General features: G+C 47.0%; 1 protein-coding gene and 1 long non-coding RNA gene across 5 annotated transcripts in view, besides 9 other annotated features; one reads left to right on the top strand and one right to left on the bottom strand.

Annotated features, from left to right (window-relative positions):
* The window catches only part of PITPNC1 (phosphatidylinositol transfer protein cytoplasmic 1), a 319,976-nt gene extending 294,372 nt beyond the window's left edge, over positions 1 to 25,604 (bottom strand). For 2 of the 3 annotated variants that reach the window (NM_181671.3, NM_012417.4), the window contains exon 1: positions 24,683 to 25,604. In NM_181671.3, the coding sequence (NP_858057.1) occupies positions 24,683 to 24,730 (48 nt within the window). In that variant the 5' untranslated portion in view covers positions 24,731 to 25,604. Of the gene's footprint in view, positions 1 to 11,863; positions 11,902 to 24,682 lie in introns of those variants that run through there. The other variant, XM_047435746.1, reaches the window with a different exon arrangement.
* Positions 438 to 732: a silencer, noted in NCBI's record as "tiled region #1189; HepG2 Repressive non-DNase unmatched - State 23:Low". NCBI's record gives its function as "represses a minimal TATA promoter and a strong SV40 promoter by Sharpr-MPRA in HepG2 cells {active_cell/tissue: HepG2}" and the evidence as "EXISTENCE:reporter gene assay evidence [ECO:0000049][PMID:27701403]".
* Positions 10,461 to 10,510: an enhancer, noted in NCBI's record as "active region_12623". NCBI's record gives its function as "activates an Ori minimal core promoter by ATAC-STARR-seq in GM12878 lymphoblastoid cells {active_cell/tissue: GM12878}" and the evidence as "EXISTENCE:reporter gene assay evidence [ECO:0000049][PMID:35858748]".
* Positions 11,813 to 11,882: a silencer, noted in NCBI's record as "silent region_8875". NCBI's record gives its function as "represses an Ori minimal core promoter by ATAC-STARR-seq in GM12878 lymphoblastoid cells {active_cell/tissue: GM12878}" and the evidence as "EXISTENCE:reporter gene assay evidence [ECO:0000049][PMID:35858748]".
* On the top strand, positions 17,151 to 17,899 carry LOC124904047 (uncharacterized). Of its 2 annotated transcripts, none has more exons than XR_007065884.1 (2): positions 17,151 to 17,265; positions 17,735 to 17,899. It is a non-coding gene; the product is annotated as an uncharacterized LOC124904047 (long non-coding RNA). The 2 variants fall into 2 exon arrangements; XR_007065882.1 differs by having other exon boundaries at positions 17,731 to 17,899.
* Positions 23,750 to 24,109: a silencer, noted in NCBI's record as "silent region_8874". NCBI's record gives its function as "represses an Ori minimal core promoter by ATAC-STARR-seq in GM12878 lymphoblastoid cells {active_cell/tissue: GM12878}" and the evidence as "EXISTENCE:reporter gene assay evidence [ECO:0000049][PMID:35858748]".
* Positions 24,220 to 24,519: a silencer, noted in NCBI's record as "silent region_8873". NCBI's record gives its function as "represses an Ori minimal core promoter by ATAC-STARR-seq in GM12878 lymphoblastoid cells {active_cell/tissue: GM12878}" and the evidence as "EXISTENCE:reporter gene assay evidence [ECO:0000049][PMID:35858748]".
* Positions 24,530 to 24,949: a silencer, noted in NCBI's record as "silent region_8872". NCBI's record gives its function as "represses an Ori minimal core promoter by ATAC-STARR-seq in GM12878 lymphoblastoid cells {active_cell/tissue: GM12878}" and the evidence as "EXISTENCE:reporter gene assay evidence [ECO:0000049][PMID:35858748]".
* Positions 25,105 to 25,798: an enhancer, noted in NCBI's record as "NANOG-H3K27ac-H3K4me1 hESC enhancer chr17:65373203-65373896 (GRCh37/hg19 assembly coordinates)". NCBI's record gives its function as "activates a minimal SCP1, AML or CMV promoter by ChIP-STARR-seq in naive H9 embryonic stem cells {active_cell/tissue: H9 hESC(naive)}" and the evidence as "EXISTENCE:reporter gene assay evidence [ECO:0000049][PMID:30033119]".
* Positions 25,300 to 25,549: a silencer, noted in NCBI's record as "silent region_8871". NCBI's record gives its function as "represses an Ori minimal core promoter by ATAC-STARR-seq in GM12878 lymphoblastoid cells {active_cell/tissue: GM12878}" and the evidence as "EXISTENCE:reporter gene assay evidence [ECO:0000049][PMID:35858748]".
* Positions 25,600 to 25,719: a silencer, noted in NCBI's record as "silent region_8870". NCBI's record gives its function as "represses an Ori minimal core promoter by ATAC-STARR-seq in GM12878 lymphoblastoid cells {active_cell/tissue: GM12878}" and the evidence as "EXISTENCE:reporter gene assay evidence [ECO:0000049][PMID:35858748]".

Raw genomic sequence — 26,202 nt, 5'->3', positions numbered from 1 at the left:
GACTAGTCTGGCCAACATGGTGAAACTCTGTCTCTACTAAAAACACAAAAATTAGCCGGGCATGGTGGTGGGCACCTGTAATCCCAGCTACTTGGGAGGCTGAGGCAGGAGAATCACTTGATCCAGGGAGGGGAAGATTGCAGTGAACAGCGATTGCGCCACTGCACTCCAGCCTGGGCGACAAAGCGAGACTCCAACTCAAAAAACAAACAAACAAACAATAAAAACATGTGGTCAAACTTGAAACTAGTGGATGCCATTCATTGCATTTGTTTCAAAGTCCTATGGTTACGGCTGCTGTGGTATGGCTGCTTGTTTTCGGCAGAACACATACCCACAGGTTAGAGAGACAGCTTTGTCAGGAAATGGCGGAGGGGCGGGGGATGGGGGGTGGAGAAGACCAAGTGTAACTGACCACCTTGTCAGAAGCAGCCAGCAGTTTGATGCGGCTTCTGAAAATGACAGTGCTAGTGTTAAAGCTGAAGTTCCAGTGGTTTCAGCACTGGTCCTCCAATATCTAAGATCAGTAAATAACGGCCCATGGGCCAAATGCAGCCCATAGCCTGTTTTTGTACGCCTCTCCAACTACAAATGGGTTTTGCATTTTTAAATGGTTGGAAAAGAAAAAGCAAAAGGCACATAATATTTCGTGGCATGTGAAAATTTTATGAAATTCAAATTTCAGTGTCCACAAATAAAATGTTACTGGAACACAGCCACGCCTATTCATTTACATGTTGCCCTATGCCTGCTTTCATGTTACGAGGTCAGAGTTGAGTAGTTGCAACAGAGACCTTACGGCTTGCAAGTCTAAAATATTGCTATCTGGCGGTTTGCAGAAAAAGTTAGTTGACCTCTGCTGTAACGCATTGCGTTCAATATTTTCTAAAGGGCAATAAGAAAGAGGAACCACAGGAATGGTGAGGGAGACAAAAGCATTTCATAAATTCAATCTGAAGGAATTGAGAGTAGCAAGCCAGTGGAAGAGAAGATCAAAGGAGAACAATCTAGATTTCTTTTCTTTTCTTTTTTTTTTTTCTTTGAGGTAGAGTCTCACTCTGTCTTCTAGGCTTGAGTGCAGTGGCGCAATCCCGGCTAACTGCAACCTCCGCCTCCTGGGTTCAAACAATTCTCTGCCTCAGCCTCCTGAGTATCTGGGATTACAGGCGCCCACCACCAGGCCCGGCTAATTTTTGTATTTTTAGTGGAGATGGGGTTTCACCATCTTGGCCAGGCTGGTCTTGAACTCCTGACCTCATGATCCACCTGCCTCGGCCTCCCAAAATGCTGGGATTACAGGCATGAGCCACCGCACCCAGCCAACATTATAGATTTCTTTAAATGTTTAAAGAGTCAGCATGTGGAAAGGGCTTGTGTTTGTCACTATAGTGGTAGAAACGATCCTGAAAGCTCTAAGGAGTCAGATACCAACTAAACATGAGAAAGCATCTTCCAACAAATCAAAGTGGAAAATCATAGAGGTTGTATTACCAAAAAGAGCCCACACCCAAGCGATGGCTGGTATTAAGCCCAAAGGCAAGATGATTGCCATCCAAGATTATCATAGAAAGGACTCTTAAGTGGGTAGGAAGTTTAACTGGTTTAATACTCAGGTTCTTTCCGTGATTTTATCTCAAAAGAAAGAAAACTGGCCAGGCGCGGTGGCTCACGCCTGTAATCCCAGCATTTTGGGAGACCAGGGCGGGCGGATCACTTGAGGTCAGGAGTTTGAGACCAGCCTGGCCAATATGGTGAAACCCCGTCTCTACTAAAAATACAAAAATTAGCTGGGTGTGGTGGTGCATGCTTGTAATCCCAGCTACTCGGGAGGCTGAGGCAGGAGAATTGCCTGAACCCGGGAGGTGGAGGTTGCAGTGATGCAGTGAGCCGAGTTGGCACCACCGCACCCCAGCCTGGGTGACATGACAGAGTGAGACACCATCTCCAAAAAAAAACAGAAAGAAAGAAAACAATCATAATTGGCAGGTGAAAGCGTAACGAACAATTTCTGCTACCACATTCACGAAGGATTAGACCCTACAGGGAAATCTACTTTTATTATATATTTATATATGTATTTTATTATATATAGTTATATGTAATAAATATATATCGATTAAAATGGGCATGTTAAAAAGAGGCCTTTCATTTAAATAGAGTACATCAGCTATAAGAAGAATCACATTAGGAAAAGAAGGGTTATTTTTAGAAAGAGGGCTCTGGTTACAAAAAATAAGGAAAGGACATCCACTGCTAAATAAAATGAGCTGAAATCTTTCCTTGTGTTACTACAGGAAATCAGCACGGCACTACTTGAAAGAGGAAAAAAGTCTATATATAAAACGGAAAGGGGGAGGAATGCGTTTTAAAAAAATGCTAAACTATAAACTACAGTTAAGGGCACAGTCATGTGACTTATTTGCACCAGACTTCTTCGCAAAATAGTTTTGCAAATGACTTCCCAAAGCACAGCCACCTGTTAGGCTGTTATTTTGGCCTATTTCCAATGGCAATCTTGTCACCCGAGCAAGAGACACACCACCATAGCAACATAAACATCAGGGTGCTGGAATGAAATTTAAAGTAGCAATTTATAGCCCCTGCAGGGCTGGAAATAAACTAATCCTTAAGCCTTTATGACTATGACACAACATTCCCACTGGGCAAAGTTAGATCCCACGGACATCTCAGGATTTCCCATAGGCCATTTGGAAAGCAGAGACTCCAAAATACCTATGGCACTAGAGGGTCCCCCTAAAATAAAGGCATTTTAAAGTGTGAAACAGTACCTAGCCCATCATGATCACCAGGTGTTTTCACACTCCCCACAAATGGACAATGACCATGACCCCTTGTATTTGCAGAGTAGGCTCCGTATTGCATGAGATCAGCCCCTAATACAGGCCAAAAGAGGGCATTTGACAGTTGAGAAAATTGACAGGTGAGGCCCAGGAAAATGAGTCTTTCTCAATCAAATCATTGATATCACACAGCAAGGACTGACTAGGTCTTCCGTGTCCACACTCTTCCACAGTATTGCACCAACCCCAACTCCGGGCAACTTACAGGTACTTTGGCTCAGGGAGATAAAATGCAAAGGTGTTTCATCAAATGAAAAGGTAGAGTAAAATGAAAGAAAAATCAAGTTTGAAAGTGACTATGCCTGTTTTCAGGGGTAAGTTTTTGCACTGTTGGAATTTGCCATTTGATATTGGAATACATTCTTAAATAAATGTGGTTATGTTATACATCATTTTAATGCACATTCTTTCACTTTTTTTGCTAATGACTTATTACTTGCTGTTTATTTTATTTTAGACTATGGAAATGATGTTAGACAAAAAGCAAATTCAAGCGATTTTCTTATTCGAGTTCAAAATGTGTGGTAAAGCAGCGGAGACAACTCTCAACATCAACAACGCATTTGCCCCCAGGAATGGCTAAAGAATGCACAGTGCAGTAGTGGTTCAAGAAGTTTTTCAAAGGAGACGAGAGCCTTGAAGATGAAGCTAGTGCCCAGCCATTGAAAGTTGACAACGACCAACTGAGAACAACCATCAAAGTTTACCCTCTGACAGGCACAGTGGCTCACGCCTGTAATCCCAGCACTTTGGGAGGCCGAGGTGAGCAGATCACAAGGTCAGGAGTTCGAGACCAGCCTGGCTAACACAGTGAAACCCCGTCTCTACTAAAAATACAAAAATTAGCCGGGCGTGGTGGCATGTGCCTGTAATCCCAGCTACTCGGGAGGCTGAGGCAGGAGAATCGCTTGAACCCAGGAGGCGGAAGTTGCAGTGAGCCGAGATCGCACCACTGCACTCCAGCCTGGGAAACAGAGCGCGACTGCGTCTCAAAAAAAAAAAAAAAAAAAAAAAAGCTGATCCTCTTACAACTACACGAGAAGTTGCCGAAGAACTCTGCGTCAACCACTCTATGGTTACTCGGCCTTTGAAGCAAATTGGAAAGGTGAGAAAGCTTCATAAGTGCATGCCTCATGAGCTGAGCGAAAATCAAAAACATTGTCGTTTTGAAGTGTTGTCTTCCCTTACTCTATGCCACAACAATGAACCATTTCTCGATCGGATTGTGACGTGCAATGAAAAATAGATTTTATACGACAACTGGTGATGATCAGCTCAGTGGTTGGATTGAGAAGAAAATCCAAAGCACTTCCCAAAAGCCAAACTTGCACCAAAAAAAGATCCCGGTCACTGGTGGTCGCTGCTGCTGGTCTGATCCATTACGGCTTTCTGAATCCTGGGGAAACCATTACAGCTGAGAAGTATGCTCAGCAAATCGATGAGATGCACCAAAAACTGCAACTCCTGCAGCCGGCACTGGTCAACAGGAAGGGCCCAATTCTTCTCCACAACACCCAACTGCACGTCGCACAACCAATGCCTAGAAAGTTGAACCAATTGGGCTACAGAGTTTTGCCTCCTCCGCCATATTCACCTGACCTCTTGCCAACCGATTACCACTTCTTCAAGCATCTCGACAACTTTTTATACAGAAAAACGCTTCCACAACCAGCAGGATGAAGAAAAAAATGCTTTCCAAGAGTTCGCTGAATCCCGAAGCACAGATTTTTACATTAAAGGAAAAAACAAACTTATTTCTCATTGGCAAAAATGTGTTGATTATTTTGATTAATAAAGATGTATTTGGGCCTAGTTACAATGATTTAAAATTCATGGTCTGAAACCACAATTACTTTTGCGCCAATACTTGCTATGGGAGGGGATAAATTACCAGGACTTAAAATTTGAACACTTTTTTTTTTTTTTTTTTGGAGACGGAGTCTCGCTCTGTCGCCCAGGCTGGAGTGCAGTGGCGCGATCTCGGCTCACTGCAAGCTCCGCCTCCCGGGTTCACACCATTCTCCTGCCCCAGCCTCTCGAGTAGTTGGGACTACAGGTGCCCGCCACCACGCCCGGCTAATTGTTTGTATTTTTAGTCGAGACAGGGTTTCACCATGTGAGCCAGGATAGTCTCGATTTCCTGACCTCGTGATCGGCCCGCCTCGGCCTCCCAAAGTGCTGGGATTACAGGCGTGAGCCACCGCACCTGGCCTTGAACCCTTTGAAGTATTGATGCAAAAACAAGTGGTCAGCTATGGCCAAATTCGCAATTCAAAAAGATCCAAGAAAGCAAGTTGAACATCCTGATTGGAGATGGGACACACCCAAACGTGTGTCTTGAGGTGGCTGCAAAGTCCTCCGGTCTGAGCCAGTGTAAGCAGGTTTTACCCCAGCCCATGATTTAGAGAGATGTTCAGTGCAGATCCTGAGCTCAGCAGAGAGCAACATAAGCCTGGACTCCAGCCCTAAAATCCCAATCCATTAACCCCCGACGTCATTTCTCCACTGCATCTTTTTACTTTGTTCTTAACTTTTCTCAAAAAGAGAGGTGTGGAAGACCCTCAGGGCAGTTCCTTCTCCAGGTCTAGAGAACAGATTTTTGGCCAGGACAGCACTGAGGTGGCCATTCTGGAGATGAAAAATAGATGAATCCGTGATGAAGCTTCTGTGATACCAGGGATCTGGCTGCTTTTGATCTCAGAACCAGTACTGAACTCTCTCTTTAAAAAAATAAGATGGTCACGGCCAGGCGTGGTGGCTGACGCCTGCAATCTCAGCACTTTGAGAGGCCGAGGCGGGTGGATTACCTGAGGTCAGGAGTTCGAGACCAGCCTGGCCAACATGGAGAAACCCCGTCTATACTAAAAATACAAAAATTAGCCGGGCGTGGTGGCAGGCGCCTGTAATCCCAGCTACTTGGGAGGCTGAGGCAGGAGAATCGCTTGAACCTGGGAGGCAGAGGTTGCAGTGAGCTGAGATCACACCATCGCACTCCAGCCTAGGGGATAAGAGTGAGACTTCGTCTCAAAAAATAAATAAATAAAAATAAATTTAAAAAAATAAGATGGTTGCCAGGTGAAATGGCTTATACCTGTAATCCCAGCACTTTGGGAGGATGAGGCAGGAGGATTCCTTGAGCCCAGGAGTTGAAAAACAGCCTGGGCAACATAGCAAGACCCTGTCTCTAAACTTTTTTTTTTAATTAGCCCAGTGTAGTGGCACACACCTGTGGTCCCAGCTATTCAGGAGGCTGAGGCTTGAGCTCAGGGAGGTGAAGGCTGCAGCGAGCAGTGATTGCACCACTGCACTCCAGTCTGGGCAACAGAGAGACCCCATCTCAAAAAATAAAAATAAGGCCAGGTGTGGTGGCTCACGCCTGTAATCACAGCACTTTGGGAGGCCGAGGCTGGTGGATCACCTGAGGTCAGGAGTTCAAGACCAGCCTGGCCAACATGATGAAACCCCGTCCCTACTAAAATACAAAAATTAGCCAGGTGTGGTGGCCGGTGCCTGTAATCCCAGCTACTTGGGAGGCTAAGGCAGGAGAATTGCTTGAACCTGAGGGCAGAGGTTGCAGTGAGCTGAGATCACGCCACTGCACTCCAGCCTGGGCAACAGAATGAGACTCCATCTCAAAAATAAAGAAAGAAAGAAAAATAAAAATAAAAAATAAGATGGTTTCTGACAAACATAACCTAAATGTAAAAGAAACAACTCCTAGAGAACATGGTCAAAAGGCTGAGCACCTACGTAAATAATGGCTAATTTTAAATTTACTTAACCTTTCCAAAGTGTTTTTCCTGAAAAGGCTTAAGGGGATTATTCCATTTGGACCTCTAATAGCCTAATTACCTTAAAAACACACAAGCACACACAACCACCACCAAGCTCCTTTTCAGACAAATTTTGGCAAAAAGAAAAATCTCAAAGTATGCCCATATCTGCAGTACTATAAGTCATGCTGCTGAAAAGCATAATTACACTCAGCTGTGTCCAAGTTTCCGTCAAACGCAATCCAAAAGAGGTGAACTATTAAGTCCTGAATCTAAAGATTTTTCATTTTGAACATGATGCTTCTTCATGAGCAGCAAAAACATAATATTAAAAAATGAGCATTTGTCATGGCCTTCAATAGCCCAGGGTTTGAGTCTCCAGCCCGCACAGTACAATCTGTACCCCGATGACTAAATGCAATTCTAGTTACCAAACTCCTGGCACTTGGGTGGGGGGGCAGGATTTAAAAAATCACATTTATATCTTTAAACCTATCTCATTTTCACAGTGTTTTTAAGTATTGAGAAAAACCACTTTCATCCACTGCGTCACTTTTATGGAGGCTACAATAATCCCGAATGATGATTCATGTGGGATGTAAGGGCCACATCAGTCTTTTCATCAGCACCAGCATCACTGTTATTATTTTAAGTCAGGGAAAACTCAGCAAAATGTTCTTGATGGAGGGCCACGCCACCAGGGAACTAACTATAGGAAATTTACACATTTCAGAAGACATGCTCCTCAGCTCAAGCACAGACTTCTCTAGTGATAACCCCTGTTTTCAAAACTACCTGTCCAGGCCAGGTGTGGTGGCTCTCACCTGTAATCCCAGCATTTTGGGAGGCCAAGACAGGAGGATTGCTTGAGGCTAAGAGTTCGAGACCAGCCTGGGCAATGTAACAAGACACCTCCCCGCCCATCTCTACAAAAAGAAAAAAATTAGCCAGACATGGTGGTGCAGACCCGTTGTCCTAGCTACTCAGGAGGATAGCATGAGCCCAGAAGTGTGAGGCTACAATGAGTCATGATGGTGCCTGGGCAACAGAGTGGGACCCTATCTCTAAAAAAAAAAAAAAGAAAAAACCTGTCCAGATAAGCAGGTGATTACAGATCCCTTTTCTCAGCCATCTATCCAGTGATGTTTTTCTACTTTAGTTGCTAATTACCAGTTTAATAAGAGCGTTGTTTTCTATAACTTTTAAAATATATACATAAATAGATATGGGGTCTCACTATGTTGGCCAGGCTGTTCTTGAACTTCTAGGCTCAGTGATCCTCCTACCTCATCCTCCCAAAGTGTTGAGATTATAGGTATGAGCCACTGCTCCTGGCAACCTTTTTTTTTTTTCCTCGAGACGGGGTCTCACTCTGTTGCCCAGGCTAGAGTGCAGTGGCACAATCTCGGCTCACTGCAAGCTCCGCCTCCCGGGTTCACACCATTCTTCTATCTCAGCCTCCCCAAGTAGCTGGGACTACAGGCGCCCGCCACCACGCCTGGCTAATATTTTGTATTTTTAGTCGAGACGGGGTTTAGCCAGGATGGTCTCGATCTCCTGACCTCATGATCCACCCGCCTCGGCCTCCCAAAGTGCTGGGATTACAGGCGTGAGCCACCGTGCCCGGCCTTAACTGTGTAACATTTTCATTCTTGTCAGTTCTCCTAGTGATGTCTACAAATAGAGCTTTCAACTCCCTATAGCCAATGACCTGGGCTTTATTAGATTTTATAGTACAATGGTCCTGCCACTTTCAAGTAGCAGTTTGTCATGAACACTATCCAAGAAAGTATCTAGAAAAATGTTGGTCTTCAGAGTTTCAATCCAATCTGAGAAGCATTTTCCTACTAGGGAGAAAAGGTGTTTATTTAACCCTTACTGTTACCAAAACATTACACATTTACAACACAAAGGTTAAAGAAGGCCAGGCTTGGTGGCTCATGCCTGTAATCCCAGCACTTTAGGAGGTTAAGGCGGGAGGATCACTTGAGCCTAGGAGTTTGAGACCAGCCTGGGCCACATAACCAGACCCTCATCTCTTCTGTGATACTGGGGATTTGGCTGCTTTTGATCTAAGAATCAGTACTAAACTCCCTCTTTAAAAAATAAGATGGGTCGGGCATGGTGGCTCACGCTTGTAATCTCAGCACTTTGGGAAGCTGAGATGGGTGGATCATGAGGTCAGGAGTTTGAGAACAGCCTGGTCAATGTGGTGAGGCCCCATCTCTGTGAAAAATACAAAAATTAGGCGGGTGTGGTGGCGGGTGCCTGTTCAGTTTCAGCTACTCGCGAGGCTGAGGCAGAAGAAAAAAGAAAATGTTACACGGTTAACTTATTCATACGCCATTACACTGACTTAAGTTATATTTTTCTCTTGAGTTAAACATTTCTAAAATCCCAAAAAATAAGCTAACATTTTAACTGGTCTTCCTTACTCAGAAAAGGGGTCTAAATAATGTCTATTTCTACCTGCTACAGCACTGTCTTTAGTCAAATATTCTGTCTTCTACCTTAAGAGAACACTGGTCAGTGCCAACCCTGCTTCTTTGAAATGCTTCTAAAGTCAGTATATTTCTGCTTTAGTAAGTATTTCTGTTAAATGATGATACAGTAATATTTCTAAATTAAAATTGCCAAGTATTTCGCTGGCTGCAAAAGTGAAGGTCACTGAGTCATTAATGCCACCCAAATACAGATATGCGTCCATGTTGTCATTTTCTTCCTTTGACAGAGGGCAGAATTCAGAAAAAAATTCTTATGAGCTTCCATTAAAGTTTATTGGGTTTATTTCAAGAAACGATGAATGAGTTTAATGATAAGTAATAACCAATTAAAAAAAAAAACCTGATCAGATACCTAGAGTAGTCAAATTCACAGAGACAGAAAGTAGGATGGTGGTTGCCAGGGGCTTTGGGGTAGGGAGAAATAGGGATTTAGGGTTAAATGGATACAGAGTTTCAATTCTGCAAGATGAAAACTGTTCTGAAGATGGGCGGTGGTGATGGCTGGACAACAATGTAAGTGTACCCAATTCTACTGAAACTGTACACTCGAAAAGTTTTAAGATGGCAAATGTTATGTGTATATTTTTAACACATTTTTCTGCTTTTTTTTTTTTTTTGAGGTGGAGTCTTGCTCTGTAGCCCAGGCTGGAGTGCAGTGGTGCGATCTTGACTCACCACAACCTCTGCCTCCCAGGTTCAAGCGATTCTCCTGCCTCAGCCTCCTGAGTAGCTGGGGTCACAGGCGTGCACCACCATGCCCGGCTAACTTTTCTGTATTTTTAGTAGAGATGGGGTTTCACCATGTTGGCCAACTCCTGACCATGGTTTCCAACTCCTGACCTCAAGTAATCCGCCTGCCTTGGCCTCCCGAAGTGCTAGGATTACAGGTGTAAGCCACTGCACCCAGCCATTTTAACACATTTTTTAAAAAACAATAAACATTAATAAAAAACTCACCAGGATATACACATCCAGTGAAGTGCAGTCCTCTTCAAATAGTTCCTTTTAGGTGACAATATGTTTATTTCAATAGTGCTGATACAAAGCAAAACATCTTTGACTCTCCCCTGGGGAATCTAGGGCAGGTTTAGGGGTGCTTTTTTTCATTGTTTTTAACATTCCTGATCATTTTGAATTTTGAAAAGTCTTTTAGAGTTCCAATTTCAAAATAATAATCGTGTTAAATTTTAAAATATTTATTTTAGCCAAGCGCAGCGGCTCACACCTATAATCCCAGCACTTTGGGAGGCCAAGGCTGGTAGATCACTTGAGCTCGGGAGTTTGAGACCAGCCTGGGCAACATGGCGAGACCCCGGTCTCTTTAAAAAAAATTATTTTAGTCCACATGCAGTGTGACTATAAAAGAATAATGTTAATCTCCCTGTGTGATTTAGAAACTGGATCTGGAGGCACTGCTAGTAAAAGTGAGCTGGGGGTTTCCAAGGCGCAGCCATCTTGGATGGAAGGGTAAATCTATAACTCTGAATAGTACACTCTGATCATTTTTAATACCTTCCAATTTGCTTACCTCCACCGGAAGAATTTTAAGTTTTCAACTAAATGTGCCAAAGACATGATGGTATCGCTTGTGTGTTCCCATCATTTTCAGATACTAATTTTGAGAAACTCACAGGTGCTCATGAACTAACATCTCTGCTGATGATGCCTATGAAAGCCAAAGGTTTTTACTGCCATTAAAAGGAATAATTTCCAAGAGTGTAGGGGTGGTTCTCTTTTTAGAGCACGAAATACAAAAGTTATTTTCGAAGAGGAATATGATTCATTTATCAGAGTTAAACTGAAGAATGTCACTTGGTTTAATACTTAAGTAAAATGGATCATTTGATGGGAGATAAAATTTCTGGACCACTTTCTTCTCTTACTGGGACAGAACATCTACCTTTCCCTAATTATTTCCTTTGATAATCCTGAAGGGTTATTTAATCTCTAAGAAATTGGATTTTTTGGCCCGGTGCGGTGGCTCACTCCTGTAATCCCAACACTTTGAGAGGCCGAGGTGAGCAGATCACCTGAGGTCAGGAGTTCGAGACCAGCCTGGCCAACCTGGTGAAACCCCATCTCTACTAAAAATATAAAAATTAGCCGGGCGTGGCGGTGGGTACCTGCAATCCCAGCTACTTGGGATGCTGAGGCAGGAGAATCACTTGAACCCAGGAGGCGGAGGTTGCAGTGAGCCAAGATCACACCACTGCACTCCAGCCTGGATGACAATGTGAGACTCCATCTCAAAAATAAATAAATAAATAAATACATAAACTAGTTATTTTCAACATAAAAACACACAAACTAGTGCTCAGAAACACCTGGATTTGGCCTTAATACAGCAAATATAATCAGAACAGAATGTGTGTGTTTTTGTGCCTGTGTGTGTGTGTAAGATGACATGGGGCGGGGGAACAGTCTTTGGAGATTAGCGGCTTAGATTAGGTACTTAAACAACATTATTATAGGGTATCATCAAATTACATTTGTTGGCCAATCTTATTTCTCTGAGTGATTCAGTCTAGGAAAGAAACAACACCCTAAAGATGGTCAGATATGATGCTAAAGGAATTAAAAAGGGTTGATTTTTTTTTCTTTGCTCAGGAATAAACAGGAATTCTAGAAGGTCAAACTTCACCCAAACTTAAAAAGATTAAACACACACACACACACACACACACACGCTAAAAAAGTCATTAGATCAATCTGACCAAGAACTTACGCTGGCTACATGTTTAGATACATGAGTCGACTTCCACTAACGTCCGATGAGGAGTTTTAAGAGAGTCCCCTTTGTCAAAGTGCTGGGAAATGAAAGAATTAGTCACTTTCATGCTTGATGTCAGAATCTTGGTGAGCTCTGGCTTCAGTATTACTAAGTCAACAAACAGTCTTGTATAATGTGGCTCAGGCAGTCAGCCAGGAAGTGGTTGGTGACCCCAGACTCCCTCCTCCACTATGGTTTGCAAAGCCAGTGGCCAAGACAGTGTGTCCTCTGCAGTGGCGCTCTCCTCTAGCAATACGCCACCTGGGAGATTTGCCCAGCAGAACCTGGTGTGATTTTGCCATCCTAGACAGACACTATTGAGATGAGGTTTAAATAGCCAGTTAGCCACCCTTAGAATAAAGCCCTTGATGGGAAGGCTTAAGGACATCTGCCAGACAAACATCAATAAGGCAAAGGACTTACGTGCCATGTGGAACCATCTCCTCCTGAATGTGTATTCTGGGATTTATTCTGCTAACACGTGATTTCCCATTCAATGCTCACGGAAAGCAGAGATATGCACCTGGAGCCAGGGCCAGAACAATCCTAGGTTCCTTTGGAAGCTGGTTCTTCCACTCATGATGGCCACAGCCTCCATGCCCTTGTGGGGACTCCTAAGGATCCTGAGTTCTGACAAGAAAGGTTCCACAGACCCCTGCAGCCCTGTAGCTGGCCTTAGGGCAGCTATTCAAGCCATGATTACTTTTTTCCCTCTAAGTATCATGTTCTGACCTAAATTGCAGTCATTCTGGTCCAAATCTGGTAGATTTTTTTCCCACACTGCTGCAGGAGAGAACCTCCTCCTCTGGAAAGCTGTCTAAATTCAAGACAACCAGAGCCATCTCCTTATGGACGGGGACCGTAACTTTTCAATTTACACAGAATTCACATTCGGCACTCTCTGCCTCTCAATGGCTCTCTCTCTCTCTCTCTGAACATGGGTATCTATTCTGCTCAAACAAATCTGTAAGCACTTCTATTTCTAAAAAAACAGCTTTGGCCGGGCACGGTGGCTCGCGTCTGTAATCCCAGCACTTTGGGAGGCCGAGGTGGGTGGATCACGAGGTCAGGAGTTCGAGACCATCCTGGCTACCACAGTGAAACCCCGTCTCTACTAAAAATACAAACAATTAGCCGGGCGTGGTGGCACGTGCCTGTAGTCCCAGCTACTCGGGAGACTGAGGCAGGAGAATTGCTTGAACCCAGGAAGCGGAGGGTGCAGTGAGCCGAGATTGCGCCATAGCACTCTAGCCTGGGCAACAGAGTGAGACTCCATCTCAAAAACAACAACAACAACAACAACAACAAAACAAAAAACAGCTTTACTGAGATGTACTTTACATACCAATTCAATGGTTCTTAATACACTTACAGACTTGTGCAACTATGGCCATCATCTATTTTTAAATGGCAATAAAACCTCTCCAGTGTCCTCTGGCCTAGGAGCTTCAGGAGGGCAGGGATCTACCTGCCCTGTCAGCCGCTGCAGGCCTAGCACCCGGCACAGAGCAGGAGTTCAATAAAGTATCTGTGAATGGATGTTTTCATGATGCCAGCCTGGAACTTCCATAGCCCTGTTTTCCAGATTCAAGAAATAACTACTTCTCTAATTCAGCTAATCTCCCTAGGAGAGGCAGAATGGCCCCCAAGATTCCCACTGATTGGTGAGCCCTTTTGGAAAAGAATCAAGAAGTCAGAGACAGCAAGTCGGAGAGATCTGAAGTTGCAGTAGAAGCTCCTGCTAGCCTTGCAAGAGCAAACTGCCATGTTGTGGAGAGGGCCACATGGCAGGACACGGCAGGTGGCCTCTGGGATCGAGCCTCTAACTGATGGATGCAGTAAGGAACTGCATTCTGCCAACAACCATGTGAACCCTGAAGACAACTCCAAGCTCCAGAAAGAAAGGCAGCCTGACTGACGCCTTGATGTCAGCTTTATGAGACCCTGAGCAGAGAATCCAGCCATGCTGCACCTAGACTTCTGACCCACAGAATTTGTGTGCTAATAAATGGGTGTTATTGTAAGCCACTGAGTTTGTGATCATTTGTAACACAGCAATAGAAAACTAATATACTGCCAGGCGCGGTGGCTCACTTTGGGAGGCCGAGGCGGGTGGATCACCGGAGGTCAGGAGTTCGAGACCAGCCTGGCCTACATGGTGAAACCCTGTCTCTACTAAAAATACAAGACCAGCCAGGTGTGGTGGTGCTAGTCTGTAGTCTCAGCTACTAAGAAAGCTGAGGCGGGAGGATTGCTTGAACCCGAGAGGTGGAGGTTGCAGTGAGTCGAGATCATGCACACTGCACTCCAGCCTGGGTGACAGAGCAAGACTATGTCTCAGAGTAAAAAACAAAAGAGGCCGGGTGCAGTGGCTCATGCCTGTAATCCCAACACTTTGAGAGGCCAAGACAGGTGGATCACTAGGTCAGGAGTTCAAGGCCAGCCTGGCCAACATGGAGAAACCTCGTCTCTACTAAAAATACAAAAATTAGCCGGGCGTGGTGGTGGGCACCTGTAATCCCAGCTACTCGGGAGGCTGAGGCAGGAGAATCACTTGAAACCAGGAGGCAGAGGTTGCAGTGAGCTGAAAGAACTGCACTCCAGCCTGGGCAACAAGAGCAAGACTCCAAGGGAAAAAAAAAAAAAAACACGAAAAAAAGAAACGAAAACTAATATACATACTCCTCCGGGAATTGGGAGGAAAGCAGTCTGACGGCAATAACTCCTAAATATATGTGACTGATTTCAAACTTCTCAGGGGTATCACTAAGAAATTTTTTAATGAGGATGTATTAAATACAAAAGAATCTCTAATTGGTAAAATTTCAGGCAGTATACAAGTGAAAAAATTTTAAACCTTTTACAGGAGGACATAGAGGATCAGGGTTCCTTAAAAAGTTCCTGTTTTCCTCAGCTTCTTCCTATCCATTCATTCAGCAAGTATTTACTATGTGTGGACCCTAAGTTTAAGCACCAGACCTGCACTGTCCAGTATGGCAGCCACAAGCCACACATGGTCCTTGAGCACTGCAGAGCGGCCAGTGAAACTGAGATGCGTGTCCACGGAAAATACACACCTGATTTCAAAGACTTAGTGTGAAAAAAATAAGTGAAAAGATTGTATCAGTATTTTCTCATGTGGATTACATGTTGAAAAGATAATGATGGCGATAGACAACAAACAATTAAACAAAATAAGTACAAATTGCGATAAATGCTCTGAAGGAATAAACAGGCGTGGAGAGGCAGATAATAGAGGATATAAATAGCGAGAATATTAAGGAAAAGATTATTTTATTTTATATTTTATTTTGAGACAGAGTTTCGCTCTGTCAGCCAGGCTGGAGTGCAGCCTCGATCTCAGCTCACTGCAACTTCCACCTCCCGGGTTCAAGCAATTCTCCTGCGTTGGCCTCCCGAGTAGCTGGGATTACAGGCGCCCACCACCATGCCCAGCTAATTTTTGTGTTTTTAGTAGAGATGGGGTTTCATCACGTTGGCCAGGCTGATCTTAAACTCCCGACCTCAAGTGACCCGTCTGCCTCGGCACCCCAAAGTGCTGGGATTACAGGCGTGAGCCGCTGTGCCTGGCCAGAGATTTAGATGAGGAAAAAGCTATTGTAGATGGAGTGTTCAGGAAAGACGATGCTAAGGGTGTGATGTTTCCACTTGTAAACCCATGAGTTTGGTATAAACTTTCAATTTCTAACCCAGGAGAGCAGCAGGGGCTGGGAGCATGAAAGGGCAGTAAAAGGCAGGTTGGTCAGTTGCAGGCCATCACACTGCTCTACTCCCACTGGGTCCCATGTAAATGGCGCCCCCTGGCGGTGTGCAGCCCTGCGACGCTGTTCGTTTGAATGATTTGGATGTTATTTGTAAATTAGAGGTTGCATAGTACAAAAAGTAAAGTTTCCAAGATTATTTTTCCAGACAACTCTACATTTTCCAGATACGATTGGTTTGTCCGTTTTAATATTTGTAATATATTTGCGCCTCATCCTCCTTGTAACCTACAAGAAAAATCTTCACTTGGGAATATACAAAATTCCTGATTTCTAGTCTGAAATTCTCCTTTTCCTCTCCCGGTGGGCTGAATTTGTTAAAGATACATAAAACCTTCTCAGTACAAGTTAGCTGATTTCTAGAACTCAGTCTGTTTCTCTGATACAGGGCAAAAGTGTTACCTAGTTTTCAGACTTGCCTAACACTACAGACCTCCAGGCAACAGAAAACAGGCCAAAGCCCACACAAGCCAGCCAGGGTGCTGCGATCTCACTCAGGCCGCTAAAGCAATGAACCTAGATGTACTTTTCCAGTAATTACTGCTTCTGAAAAACACATTTACTGCCTTTGTGCATACACTTTCACATTTTTAAAAACCCAAAACGTTGTGATTCCCCACTCCCCATCTCATACCTACACATCCCTAGGAGAGGGGAAGCTCTTAAAGAGGTTGAATGTTTAAACTATATTAATTTAGTTTAGGCGGGGCGCAGTGGCTCACACCTGTAATCCCAGCACTCTGAGAGGCCGAGGCGGGTGGATCACCTGAGGTCAGGAGTTCGAGACCAGCCTGGACAACATGGTGAAACCCCGACTCTACTAAAAATACAAAAATTAGCTGGACATGCTGGCAGGCGCCTGTAATCCCAGCTAGTCGGGAGGCTGAGGCAGGAGAACCCCTTGAAACCTGGGAGGCGGAGGTTGCAGTGAGCCGCGATAGCGCCACTGCACTCCAGCCTGGGCGACAAGAGCAAAACTCCGTCTCAAAATAAATAAAGTATATTAATTTCTTTTAATGCCTACAATAAATAATATTCTCCATTCGCCTGAAACGACAGCCTTACTGAAATGAATATTACTCGCTTTGCTTTGGAGTATCAGTCACACTCACGCAATCAGACACAAGGTTTCTAAATTGACTTTCAAGAGCCTTAGGAACTTCCTCCATATCACAATAAGAAAAAGCAAAAGTTAATTACTACCTACTTTTAACCAGGGTTTTGTTAACAACAGTTTGCTTCCCTGATCCCTGTATCTATCTCCTGCGCCAGGTACTTCCACCCAAGTCACTGGGAAAATGCAGCTTCCTTCATGGACAGAGTCAATTTCACTGACCAGCCAGGAGGACAGCATCTGCTCCTTGTCTGTTCCATTAGTGTTGAAAGGTTTGCACAAATCTATTTACCCGCCCTCCTTTCCCTGTGCCCGTTATGACAAAAAAAAAAACCGGAGCTTTGCCAGACAGCTAGCCAAACCTCCACTGTCCCCTGGCTGTGGAACTGTGTCCGGAGATGGTTCCTTCCGGTGGGTTCTTGGTCTCGCTCACTTCAAGAATGAAGCCGCGGACCTTCACGGTGAGTGTTACAGCTCTTAAAGGTGGTGCGGACCAAAGAGCGGACAGCAGGAAGATTTAGTGTGAACAGCAAAAGAGTGAACAGCAAAAGAGCAAAGCTTCCACAGCCTGGAAGGTGCCTGGGGGGAGGGGAGGGGGGAGGGGTGGTCAGCCATTATTCCCTTATTTGTCCCCGCCCATGTCCTGCTGATTGGTCCATTTTACAGAGTGCTGATTGCTCCATTTTACAGAGCACTGATTGGTGCATTTTACTGAGCACTGATTGGTCCATTTTACAAACCTCTAGCTAGCCACAGAGAGCTGATTGGTGCGTTTTTGCAGAGTGCTGATTAGCGCATTTTAGAAACCGCTAGCTAGCCACAGAGACCTGATTGGTGCGTTTTTGCAGCCTGCTGATTAGCGTATTTTAGAAATCTCTAGCTAGCTACAGAGCGCTGATTGGTGCATTTTACAATCCTCTTGTAAGACAGAAAAGTTCTCCAAGTCCCCACCGGACCAAGAAGTCCAACTGGCTTCACCTCCCAGAACAAGCCACCAAGGAAACCACCTGGATCACACAGAAATCACACGCATGACCCTGACCTTGGTCCCTTCTCAACAGAAAATTTAAAATAAAATAAAACAACCTCTCAAAATTGTGCTCGTTCTTGAGAAAACTTTTTATAGAATTATCTTATTCAGAATAAAATTTTTATACCAGACAAGGAAAACATTTTCCAAATTACATTTACAAGAAACCTTGGGGAAAGTCTGTGAGATTAATCCAAGGAGTCTTTATCCTTTATATTCAGAGGTATTGACGCCAGCAGCAAACTTAAAATCTCTTCCTTTCAATAATTTCTGCCTTGATATGTTTGCAGATGCATTTCAGGAAAATGGTTTAAAACTGAGAACAAGGCCCGGCGCAGTGGCTCATGCCTGTAATCCCAGCACTTTGGGAGGCCGAGGCGGGCAGATCACGAGGTCAGGAGATCGAGACCATCCTGGTTAAAAGGGTGAAACCCCGTCTCTACTAAAAATACAAAAAATCAGCTGGGCGCAGTGGCGGGCGCCTGTAATCCCAGATACTCGGGAAGCTGAGGCAGGAGAATGGCGTGAACCCGGGAGGCGGAGCTTGCAGTGAGCCGAGATCGCGCCACTGCACTCTGGCCTGGGCGAAAGAGCGAGACTCCGTCTCAAAAAAAAAAAAAAAGAGAACAAGGAACACTGTTGGGCATTTTGGCATTTCCATTCATGTCATTCCAGAGGCAGCACCACCCTGATCCCAAATCCGTTCTCAGAAATGTGCGCAAGAAAACTCTCTGGGGACCCTGGGGGTGCCTGGATGAAGTGCACTGGCTCCCTGCCAGGGCAAAAAAGAAAATAATATTCTGTATGAAAAAGTTGTTTTTCTTTTCTTTCCTTTCCTTCTCTTTTCTCGGAGGGGAGGGGAGTGTTTCTATTTTTCTGCATTGTGCACCATATCCCTAGAGACCACAAATCAATCCCTAAAAGTATACACATTTATGTGAATGCAGTCAGAACAGGAACTGTTAAACAAGAACTGGTTTTTGGTTTGTTTGTTCGTTTGTTTTTGTTTTTTTGAGACAGAGTTTTGCTCTTGTTGCCCAGGCTGGAGTGCGATGGTGCGATCTCAGCTCACCACAACCTCCACCTCCCTGGTTCAAGTAATTCTCCTGCCTCACCCTCCCAAGTACCTGGGATTACAGGCATGCGCCACCACGCCTGGCTAATTTTGTATTTTTAGTAGAGACGGGGTTTCTCATGTTAGTCAGGCTGGTCTCAAACTCCCGACCTCAGGTGATCCACCCGCCTCAGCCTCCCAAAGTGCTGGGATTACAGGCATGAGCCACCGCGCCTGGCCAGAACGGTTAAACAGTAAAGAAAGCAATGAAAACAAAAGGATTCCTGCCTTAGATAATATTAGGATGTGCTTAGCGTCTCTTGAGAGACGCTCATTTTACTAACAAGTACCTCTGTGGCGAGGGTGGCAGGTGCAGGGTGATCTTCAGACTGTGCTCCAAGGAGCCTCCTTGGTGAGCAGGTCGCTCACTGGGACCGAGTGGCTGCGGGAGGAGGTGGGCCACCCTTCCAATAGGTTCCAATGGGGCTACCCTATGTGTCCCGCTAAGCAGACACAAGGTTGGAGTCCCCAGCCACCTTCAACTAGAGAGTAGAGCCAGTGTACCTGCTTTACACATGGGTCCTCAGGAGAATATTTTCTTCCACCAAGGAATCTCAGAGGAGGGAGAATTCCATATAGTAGAACAGCCTTGAGCCTTAAATCAGACCTGGTTCTAGCCTAGAGTTTGTCAATGAGGTAGACAACTTAACTGCACCTACTACAGGTCTAGACTTCATTATAAAATGAAATGGCTCACCGGGCATGAACTCTCAGGAGTTCGAGACCAGCCTGACCAACATGGTGAAACCCCATCTCTACTAAAAACACAAAAATTAGCTGGCTGGGGTGGTACAAGCCTGTAAATCCCAGCTATTCTGGAGGCTGAGGCAGGAGAATCTCTTGAACTCGGGAGGCAGAGGTTTCAGTGAGCCAAGATTGCGCCACTGCACTCCAGCCTGGGTGAAAGAGCAAGACTCCATCTCAAAAATAAACAAACAAATAAATAAATAAATAAATGGCTCAATTATAAATCATCTCCAATACGCCTTCTAAGTCTAAAACTCTAGAATCATCCGGGGGCAGTGGCTCATGCCTGTAATCCCAGCACTTTGGGAGCCCAAAGTGGGCGGATCGCCTGAGGTCAGGAGTTCGAGACAAGCCTGACCAACATGGTGAAACCCCTTCTCTACTAAAAATACAAAAAATTAGCCTGGCGTGATGGTGGGCGCCTGTAATCCCAGCTACTCGGGAGGCTGAGGCAGGAGACTTGCTTGAAACCGGGCGGTGGAGGTCGCAGTGAGCCGAAATCATCCCACTGCACTCCAGCCTGGGCGACAGAGCGAGAGAGTGTGGCTCAGAAAAAGAAACAAACAAACAAAAACTCTAGAATCTACATCTACGTCTACCAAATGTTTCAAATGAAGATAATGACAACTTTCTCTCTATAGCAACTCTCAGCTCTCAGGAACTTTTCCTGTTCATACCTTTCCAACAGGCTTATATTGAGTTCAGAGACCACCACATTTAACACAAACGAGGGACTATTCCAATGAAATGTTTTAATTAAAATTAATCTATGGAATGTTACTTTTATTAATTCTTTACTCTGAAATTAATGTCTAAAACACACACACACACACACACACACACACACACACCAAAAAACCCCACCAACACTCTAATCTAGACAGTAGTTCAGCTTTATTTTCTTGATCGCCCAGAGCTGTTCTTTTTTCCTGGAACTAGAGAACATTTTATGTGTTAAAATAAAGCTAGAGAAATAGTAGAGGCCAGTACCGTCTATAGCAAGTCAAAAGGCCTCTGATTTTTCATTTACTTGATAGTGCTGACTTTATCTGTTTTCAAGAAATGTTTTTCCTTTTGCTGGATTAAACACTAGTGACAGGCAAAAAGCAGAGTAAGGAAAAACAAATAATGGGTTTCACCATGCTCTCCTTCTGGCTTGGCTATTAACTAGTTGTGTGGCCTGGAGCACATTACCTAACCCTTCTGAATCTCAATGTATTCATCTGCAAAATATAGATAATAACACACCAGTGCCACTAATGCTCCACCGCCCGCCACCACCAGAGTGTTAAATGAGGGAGAAGGGATAAGGCCAGGCACAAGAAGCAGGCAAAGTGTGGGTTCTCTCACTGATTCTTCAAAGCATGAGCATTTGCTTCATTTTCAAAAGTATGGACACTGCTACCAATGAACTCTGGTGATTAAAGAGAAACAAGTAGGCCGGGCGCGGTGGCTCACGCCTTTGGGAGGCCAAGGCGGGCGGATCGCGAGGTCAGGAGATTGAGACCATCCTGGCTAACACGGTGAAACCCCGTCTCTACTAAAAATACAAAAAATTAGCAGGGTGCGGTGGCTGGCGCCTGTAGTCCCAGCTACTCGGGAGGCTGAGGCAGGAGACTCGCGTGAACCCGGGAGGTGGACCTTGCAGTGAGCTGAGATTGCACCACTGCGCTCCAGCCTGGGAGACAGAGGGAGATTCCGTCTCAAAAAAAAAAAAAAAAGAGAGAGAAACAAGTTCCAGAAGTTCCATGTAGGTTGAATCAGGCCCAGAGCCAACCAAGAGTGGAAGCAAAAGTTAGGCTCCCAGGCCGGGCGCAGTGGCTCATGCCTGTAATCCCAGCCCTTTTTTTTTTTTTTTTTTTTGAGTGGAGTCTTGTTCTGTCGCCCAGGCTGGAGTGCAGTGGCGTGATCTCAGCTCACTGCAAGCTCCGCCTCCCAGGTTCACGCCATTCTACTGCCTCAGCGTCCCAAGTAGCTAGGACTACAGGCGCCCGCCACCAGGCCTGCTTAATTTTTTTGTATTTTTAGTAGAGACGGGGTTTCACTGTGTTAGCCAGGATGGTCTCGATCTCCTGACCTCGTGATCTGCCCACCTCAGCCTCCCCAAGTGCTGGGATTACAGGCGTGAGCCACCGCACCCGGCAATCCCAGCACTTTAAAAGGCTGAGGCAGGAGGATCACTCAAGCTCAGGAGTTCAAGACCAGCCTGGGCAACACAGCGAGTCCCTGTCTCTACAAAAAGTAAAAAAATTAGCCGGGTTGGCAGCACACACCTATTGTCCCAGCTACTCAGGAGGCTGAGATGGGAGGATCACTTGAGCCCAGGAGATGGAGGCTGCAGTGAACTAGGATCACGCCACTGCACTCCAGCCTGGATGACAGAGCGAGACCGTGTCTCAAAAAGAAAAAAAAAAAGTTAGGCTTCCAAAGTTTACCTAAACATCTTATTTAAAGAAACTCAAGTTGCTTCCTCATTTTCAATGTGGAAAAAGGGTCAGTGGAAAAGGGGATGGTGGAGACTGTGGAATTTACTATCAGTTCTGACTCTAGGGGTTTAACATCTGGCAAACTAGGCCTCATTTCTTCATCCATCATCAGATTTAGCTAATCTGAATCCTACTAATTGGAAACATCTATTAATCTAAATTGCCCTCCTGCTTCTCTGACAAAGCCGAAAATGACTTCAGAATATGAACCTTACAGAAACTGAATCATACTTTGGCCAAAATGAATTATACATTAAAGAATTTATAATTATATTACAGGTGGAGTCTGATGAGTCTGATTTTGTTGGCCAATTAAGAAAGGAAGGGCTGGCTGGGCGCAGTGGCTCATGCCTGTAATCCCAGCACTTTGGGAGGCTGAGGCAGGCGGATTGCCTGAGGTCAGGCATTCAAGACCAGCCTGGCCAACATGGTGAAACCCCGTCTCTACTAAAAATACAAAAATTAGCCAGACGTGGTGGCAGGCACCTGTAATCTCAGCTACTCAGGAGGCTGAGGCAGGAGAATTGCTTGAATCCAGGTGGCGGAGGTTGCAGTGAGCCGAGATCTCGCCATTGCGCCCCACCCTGGGCAACATAACAAGGCTCCATCTCAAAAAAAAAAAAAAGAAAAGAAAAGACAAAAAAAAGGAAGGAAGGAAGGAAGGGCCTCCACCTATATCATTCAAATGTAATTACCCCACGGTATACCTGTGGGTATTTCGGTACAAAAACAAAAGTGGGAAAAGCATCTGCCTGAGTGTTTCAGAAAGCCTGAAAAGGGAACCAACTAGGATAAAGAGATTTTGTAGTTAGTAGAGAAGATTCTAGAACTGGTTCTTTTCTTGATTATCACCTGCAATTTTCTGTGTATTTCATGCAGTCCCAACATTGCTCCTAGAATCCAAACTCATATCAAAAAACAAGGTCATTAGGATATGGAGTAGAGGGATCCATGCCTCCCAGCTGAATTACTCTAGCTCAACTGCCCACAAGGTGGGACAATCTCCACCTTTTCTGGAAAGACTCCTATTAACCAGTCCCATTCATTTGCCCTTCTCTTTCTCCACAAAGCTATGTCCTGCTTCTCCACTTACAAGGTCATATGCAACTCGAATCTCTGTCTACCCACCTGGCATCCACCCTTCCAGACCCTGCTTAAATGCTACCTCCTCAAATGCCAACGAACTCCAAAACTCGGTTGTTCATTCTGGTGGAAGCTGATCTCTCCCTCCTTGGCAGCCTGTGTCCCCGTGATGCGTTTTGTAAACTTGCAGCTACTTTGATCTTGTCTTGGATTGTACTTGGGTCTTACCTTAACCCTTGGTCCAGATGGCAAATACGGACAGCCCCTGTGAGCTCAGCCATGTTCTCAGTTATGCATCTTTTTCTCTCCCAAAGCACATCGCCCCTCTCACCAAGTAGTGGCTCAAAAACATATCTGATAGTTTCGAGGCACCAGATTTAAATATAAAGACGGTCTGGGTGGCTGATTTCATGTGTGTTGCCACACCAAACCACACTAGTGAGTTTCACGTTGCCTTGCTTGGCTTTGGGCTCCCTCGCTGTCCCTGGACAGAGACGCTCAGCAGTCGTGGAATCACCACAAAGGTGGGGAGGAAGAAGGGGAAGAAAGGGAAGCCGGGGCCGGAATAATCCTATCTGAGTCACCACTTCCTGAATACTGGAGCTCGCGGCTTCGCAGGATCGGGAGAAGGACAGCAGAGCCGCGCTTGGAGGACGAGCCCCCGCCCCGCGCCCGGCGCCCCCAGCCGGCAGCCGCGGCCCCGGCACCACGTGCTGGAGCGCCCTCCTGTGGCCGCGTCGCAGCCCCCGCCGCTCCCGGCTCGCGCGCCGCTCCCCGCGGCGGAAGAAACAAGAGACGCAGAAAGTTTCCGAGCCAGGCGGTTTGCGAAAGGACACAGCCGGGTCCCGAGCCTCGAAGGGCGGACGTGCCGGGAGCTGCGCCCAAGCCCGCGGCGACGGCGAGAAGTCGGGCCCCGCAGGGACCTCCCCTAAGGGCTCAGAGGTTCCTCCCGCGGGGCTCGGGGCGTGCAGATCCCGAGGGCGCAGGGCTCCTCCTCGCACCCCTACCTGACCGCAGAGGGCGGGGAGGGGAGGCTGGGCCCACGGCCAGGACGGGATGCCCCCCAAACCCCAGCTACAGCGCGCGCCGGGGGCTCTTGGGTTTGGTTTATTCATTTTCTTATTTGGAGGGAGGGGGCGCACCCACTCCCTTTGGCTCATAGTGATCCCCAACAGTCTGGATTCTGGGCGCCCCCGAAAAGCCCACCCGGAGTCCGCCGCCCCACCCAGCGCCGCCCTCCCCCGCTGGGGTGACAAGTGGAAGCCGCAAATCCCCTCCCTCCTCTCCTCCAGGCTTCGGGTTTGCGGGGTAACGTCCACCTGGGTTTCCTGCCGCTCGCCCGGGGCTCGCCGGCCAGGAGGCGGCGGTAGCGGCGGGGGTCCCGGAGCGGGCGAGGCCGGGCCGGGCGCGGCGCTTACCTCGTCTACGGTGAGCGGCATGCAGATCCGGTACTCTTTCAGCAGCATGGTCCTGCCGGCCGCGGACCCCCGGGGCGGGAAGCGGGGGGCGCCCCCAAGACCAGCAAGGCTGCTGCCCAGGCGCAGGGCAGGGCGCCCGGAGCCCGGCGCTCGGAGCCGGAGGGCGAAGCAGCCCCCGCGGCGCGCTCAGCTCCTGGCTTCCTCCTCTCCGCCCCAGAGCATGTCAGGGTTTGGGTCTGGGTGTTCGCAGCTCCCCCGCCTCCTCCCTCGCCGAGGCCGGTCCTCCCGGAACGCGGTGTTGCAAAGTCAGGGAGGCAGGGAGGGAGACCCGCTGGGGACGACTCTGCTCGGCTGCCCAGGGTGGTAGGAGCGGCCGCCAGATCAGGACATGCCCGGCAGCGAGCGAGGGAGGAAAAAAGAGAGATTTCCAAAAATTAAAACGAATGCACAAAAGTCACCCGCTCGATCCGCCTCCGAAAGCAGACGGGAACCTGGCGACCCCCCTCCTCCGGCGGGTCTGCCCGATGCTAATGTCACCAGGAACACATTGCAGCCGGAGCCGGAGATGCTGACTTTCCAGACAAAGGCTCGATCGGCTTCTCTCCGCGGGCGGTAAACAAGATTTCCTGCTCTTTTTAGGGCCGGTCCCCGCGCCGCTCCGGGGCTCGGCTCGGGGAGAAAAGGGAAGCCGCCGCCGCCGCCGCCGCTCGGCTCTGCCCGGCTGGGGCCCCGGGCGCCTCCAACCTCGGCTCGCGGCTGCCAGGGGCGGGCGGGAGGAAGCTGGCGCCTTCCGCGCGCGTCCCCTCCCCCGAGTCCCTCGGCTCCCCGGGCGCCGTGCGTGCCCGCGAGTTTGCAGCCACCTCGCCGGGGCCGGAGCGTCCGCGCCGATGCAGTGTGCCTGGGGCCGGGAGGTGGGTGCGGGAGGAGCGAGCGCGAGCGAGGCTGACATCAGCAGCGGCCGCGGCGGGGAGGGTAGCCCCATCCGGCCAATGGGGAAATGGCAAAGAATGTGGAGGATTTAAACAAAACAGCATGTCTCTGCCAGACGGCGGGGCTGCTCCGGAGCGGAGCCCGGCCGGCGCTGGGGAGGCTCGGGCAGAGGGGCTTTCCTCGGCTCCTTTGCCCTTTGAATCCGCTCTCCATTGTGCCCTGAGTGCTGCCGTGCTCCATCCAGCCCCTCTGGGAAGTTTCTGGTCCCCTGACCCTAGGGACAAGTCACCAATGCCCACCACCTATGTGTGGTCCAGTAAGCAAGTCTGGGGCTGGAGAGGCAATGGGTGGGATTTGGGAACAAACCCTTGCCTGGTTTCAGAGGAGAGATCCTGGAAAACTGGGAAGTGCAGCCGTGTGAATGGAAATGAAGTACAAACGGGGAGGGAACAACCAGAGAGAACATGAACCCCACGTAGCCTGTTACCTCGCCTGGCCCGGCTCTGCAATCTTTCTGCAGATTGTGCAGGCTCCGCGCAGCAGAAAGAAAGAGTAGGTTTTCGTATCCGCACTCCTAAGTTCAAAAAGTC

Source organism: Homo sapiens, chromosome 17 (assembly GCF_000001405.40).
Source record: "Homo sapiens chromosome 17, GRCh38.p14 Primary Assembly".
Classification (NCBI taxonomy): Eukaryota; Metazoa; Chordata; class Mammalia; order Primates; family Hominidae; genus Homo; species Homo sapiens.
This window is presented reverse-complemented; position numbering and strand designations above follow the sequence as displayed.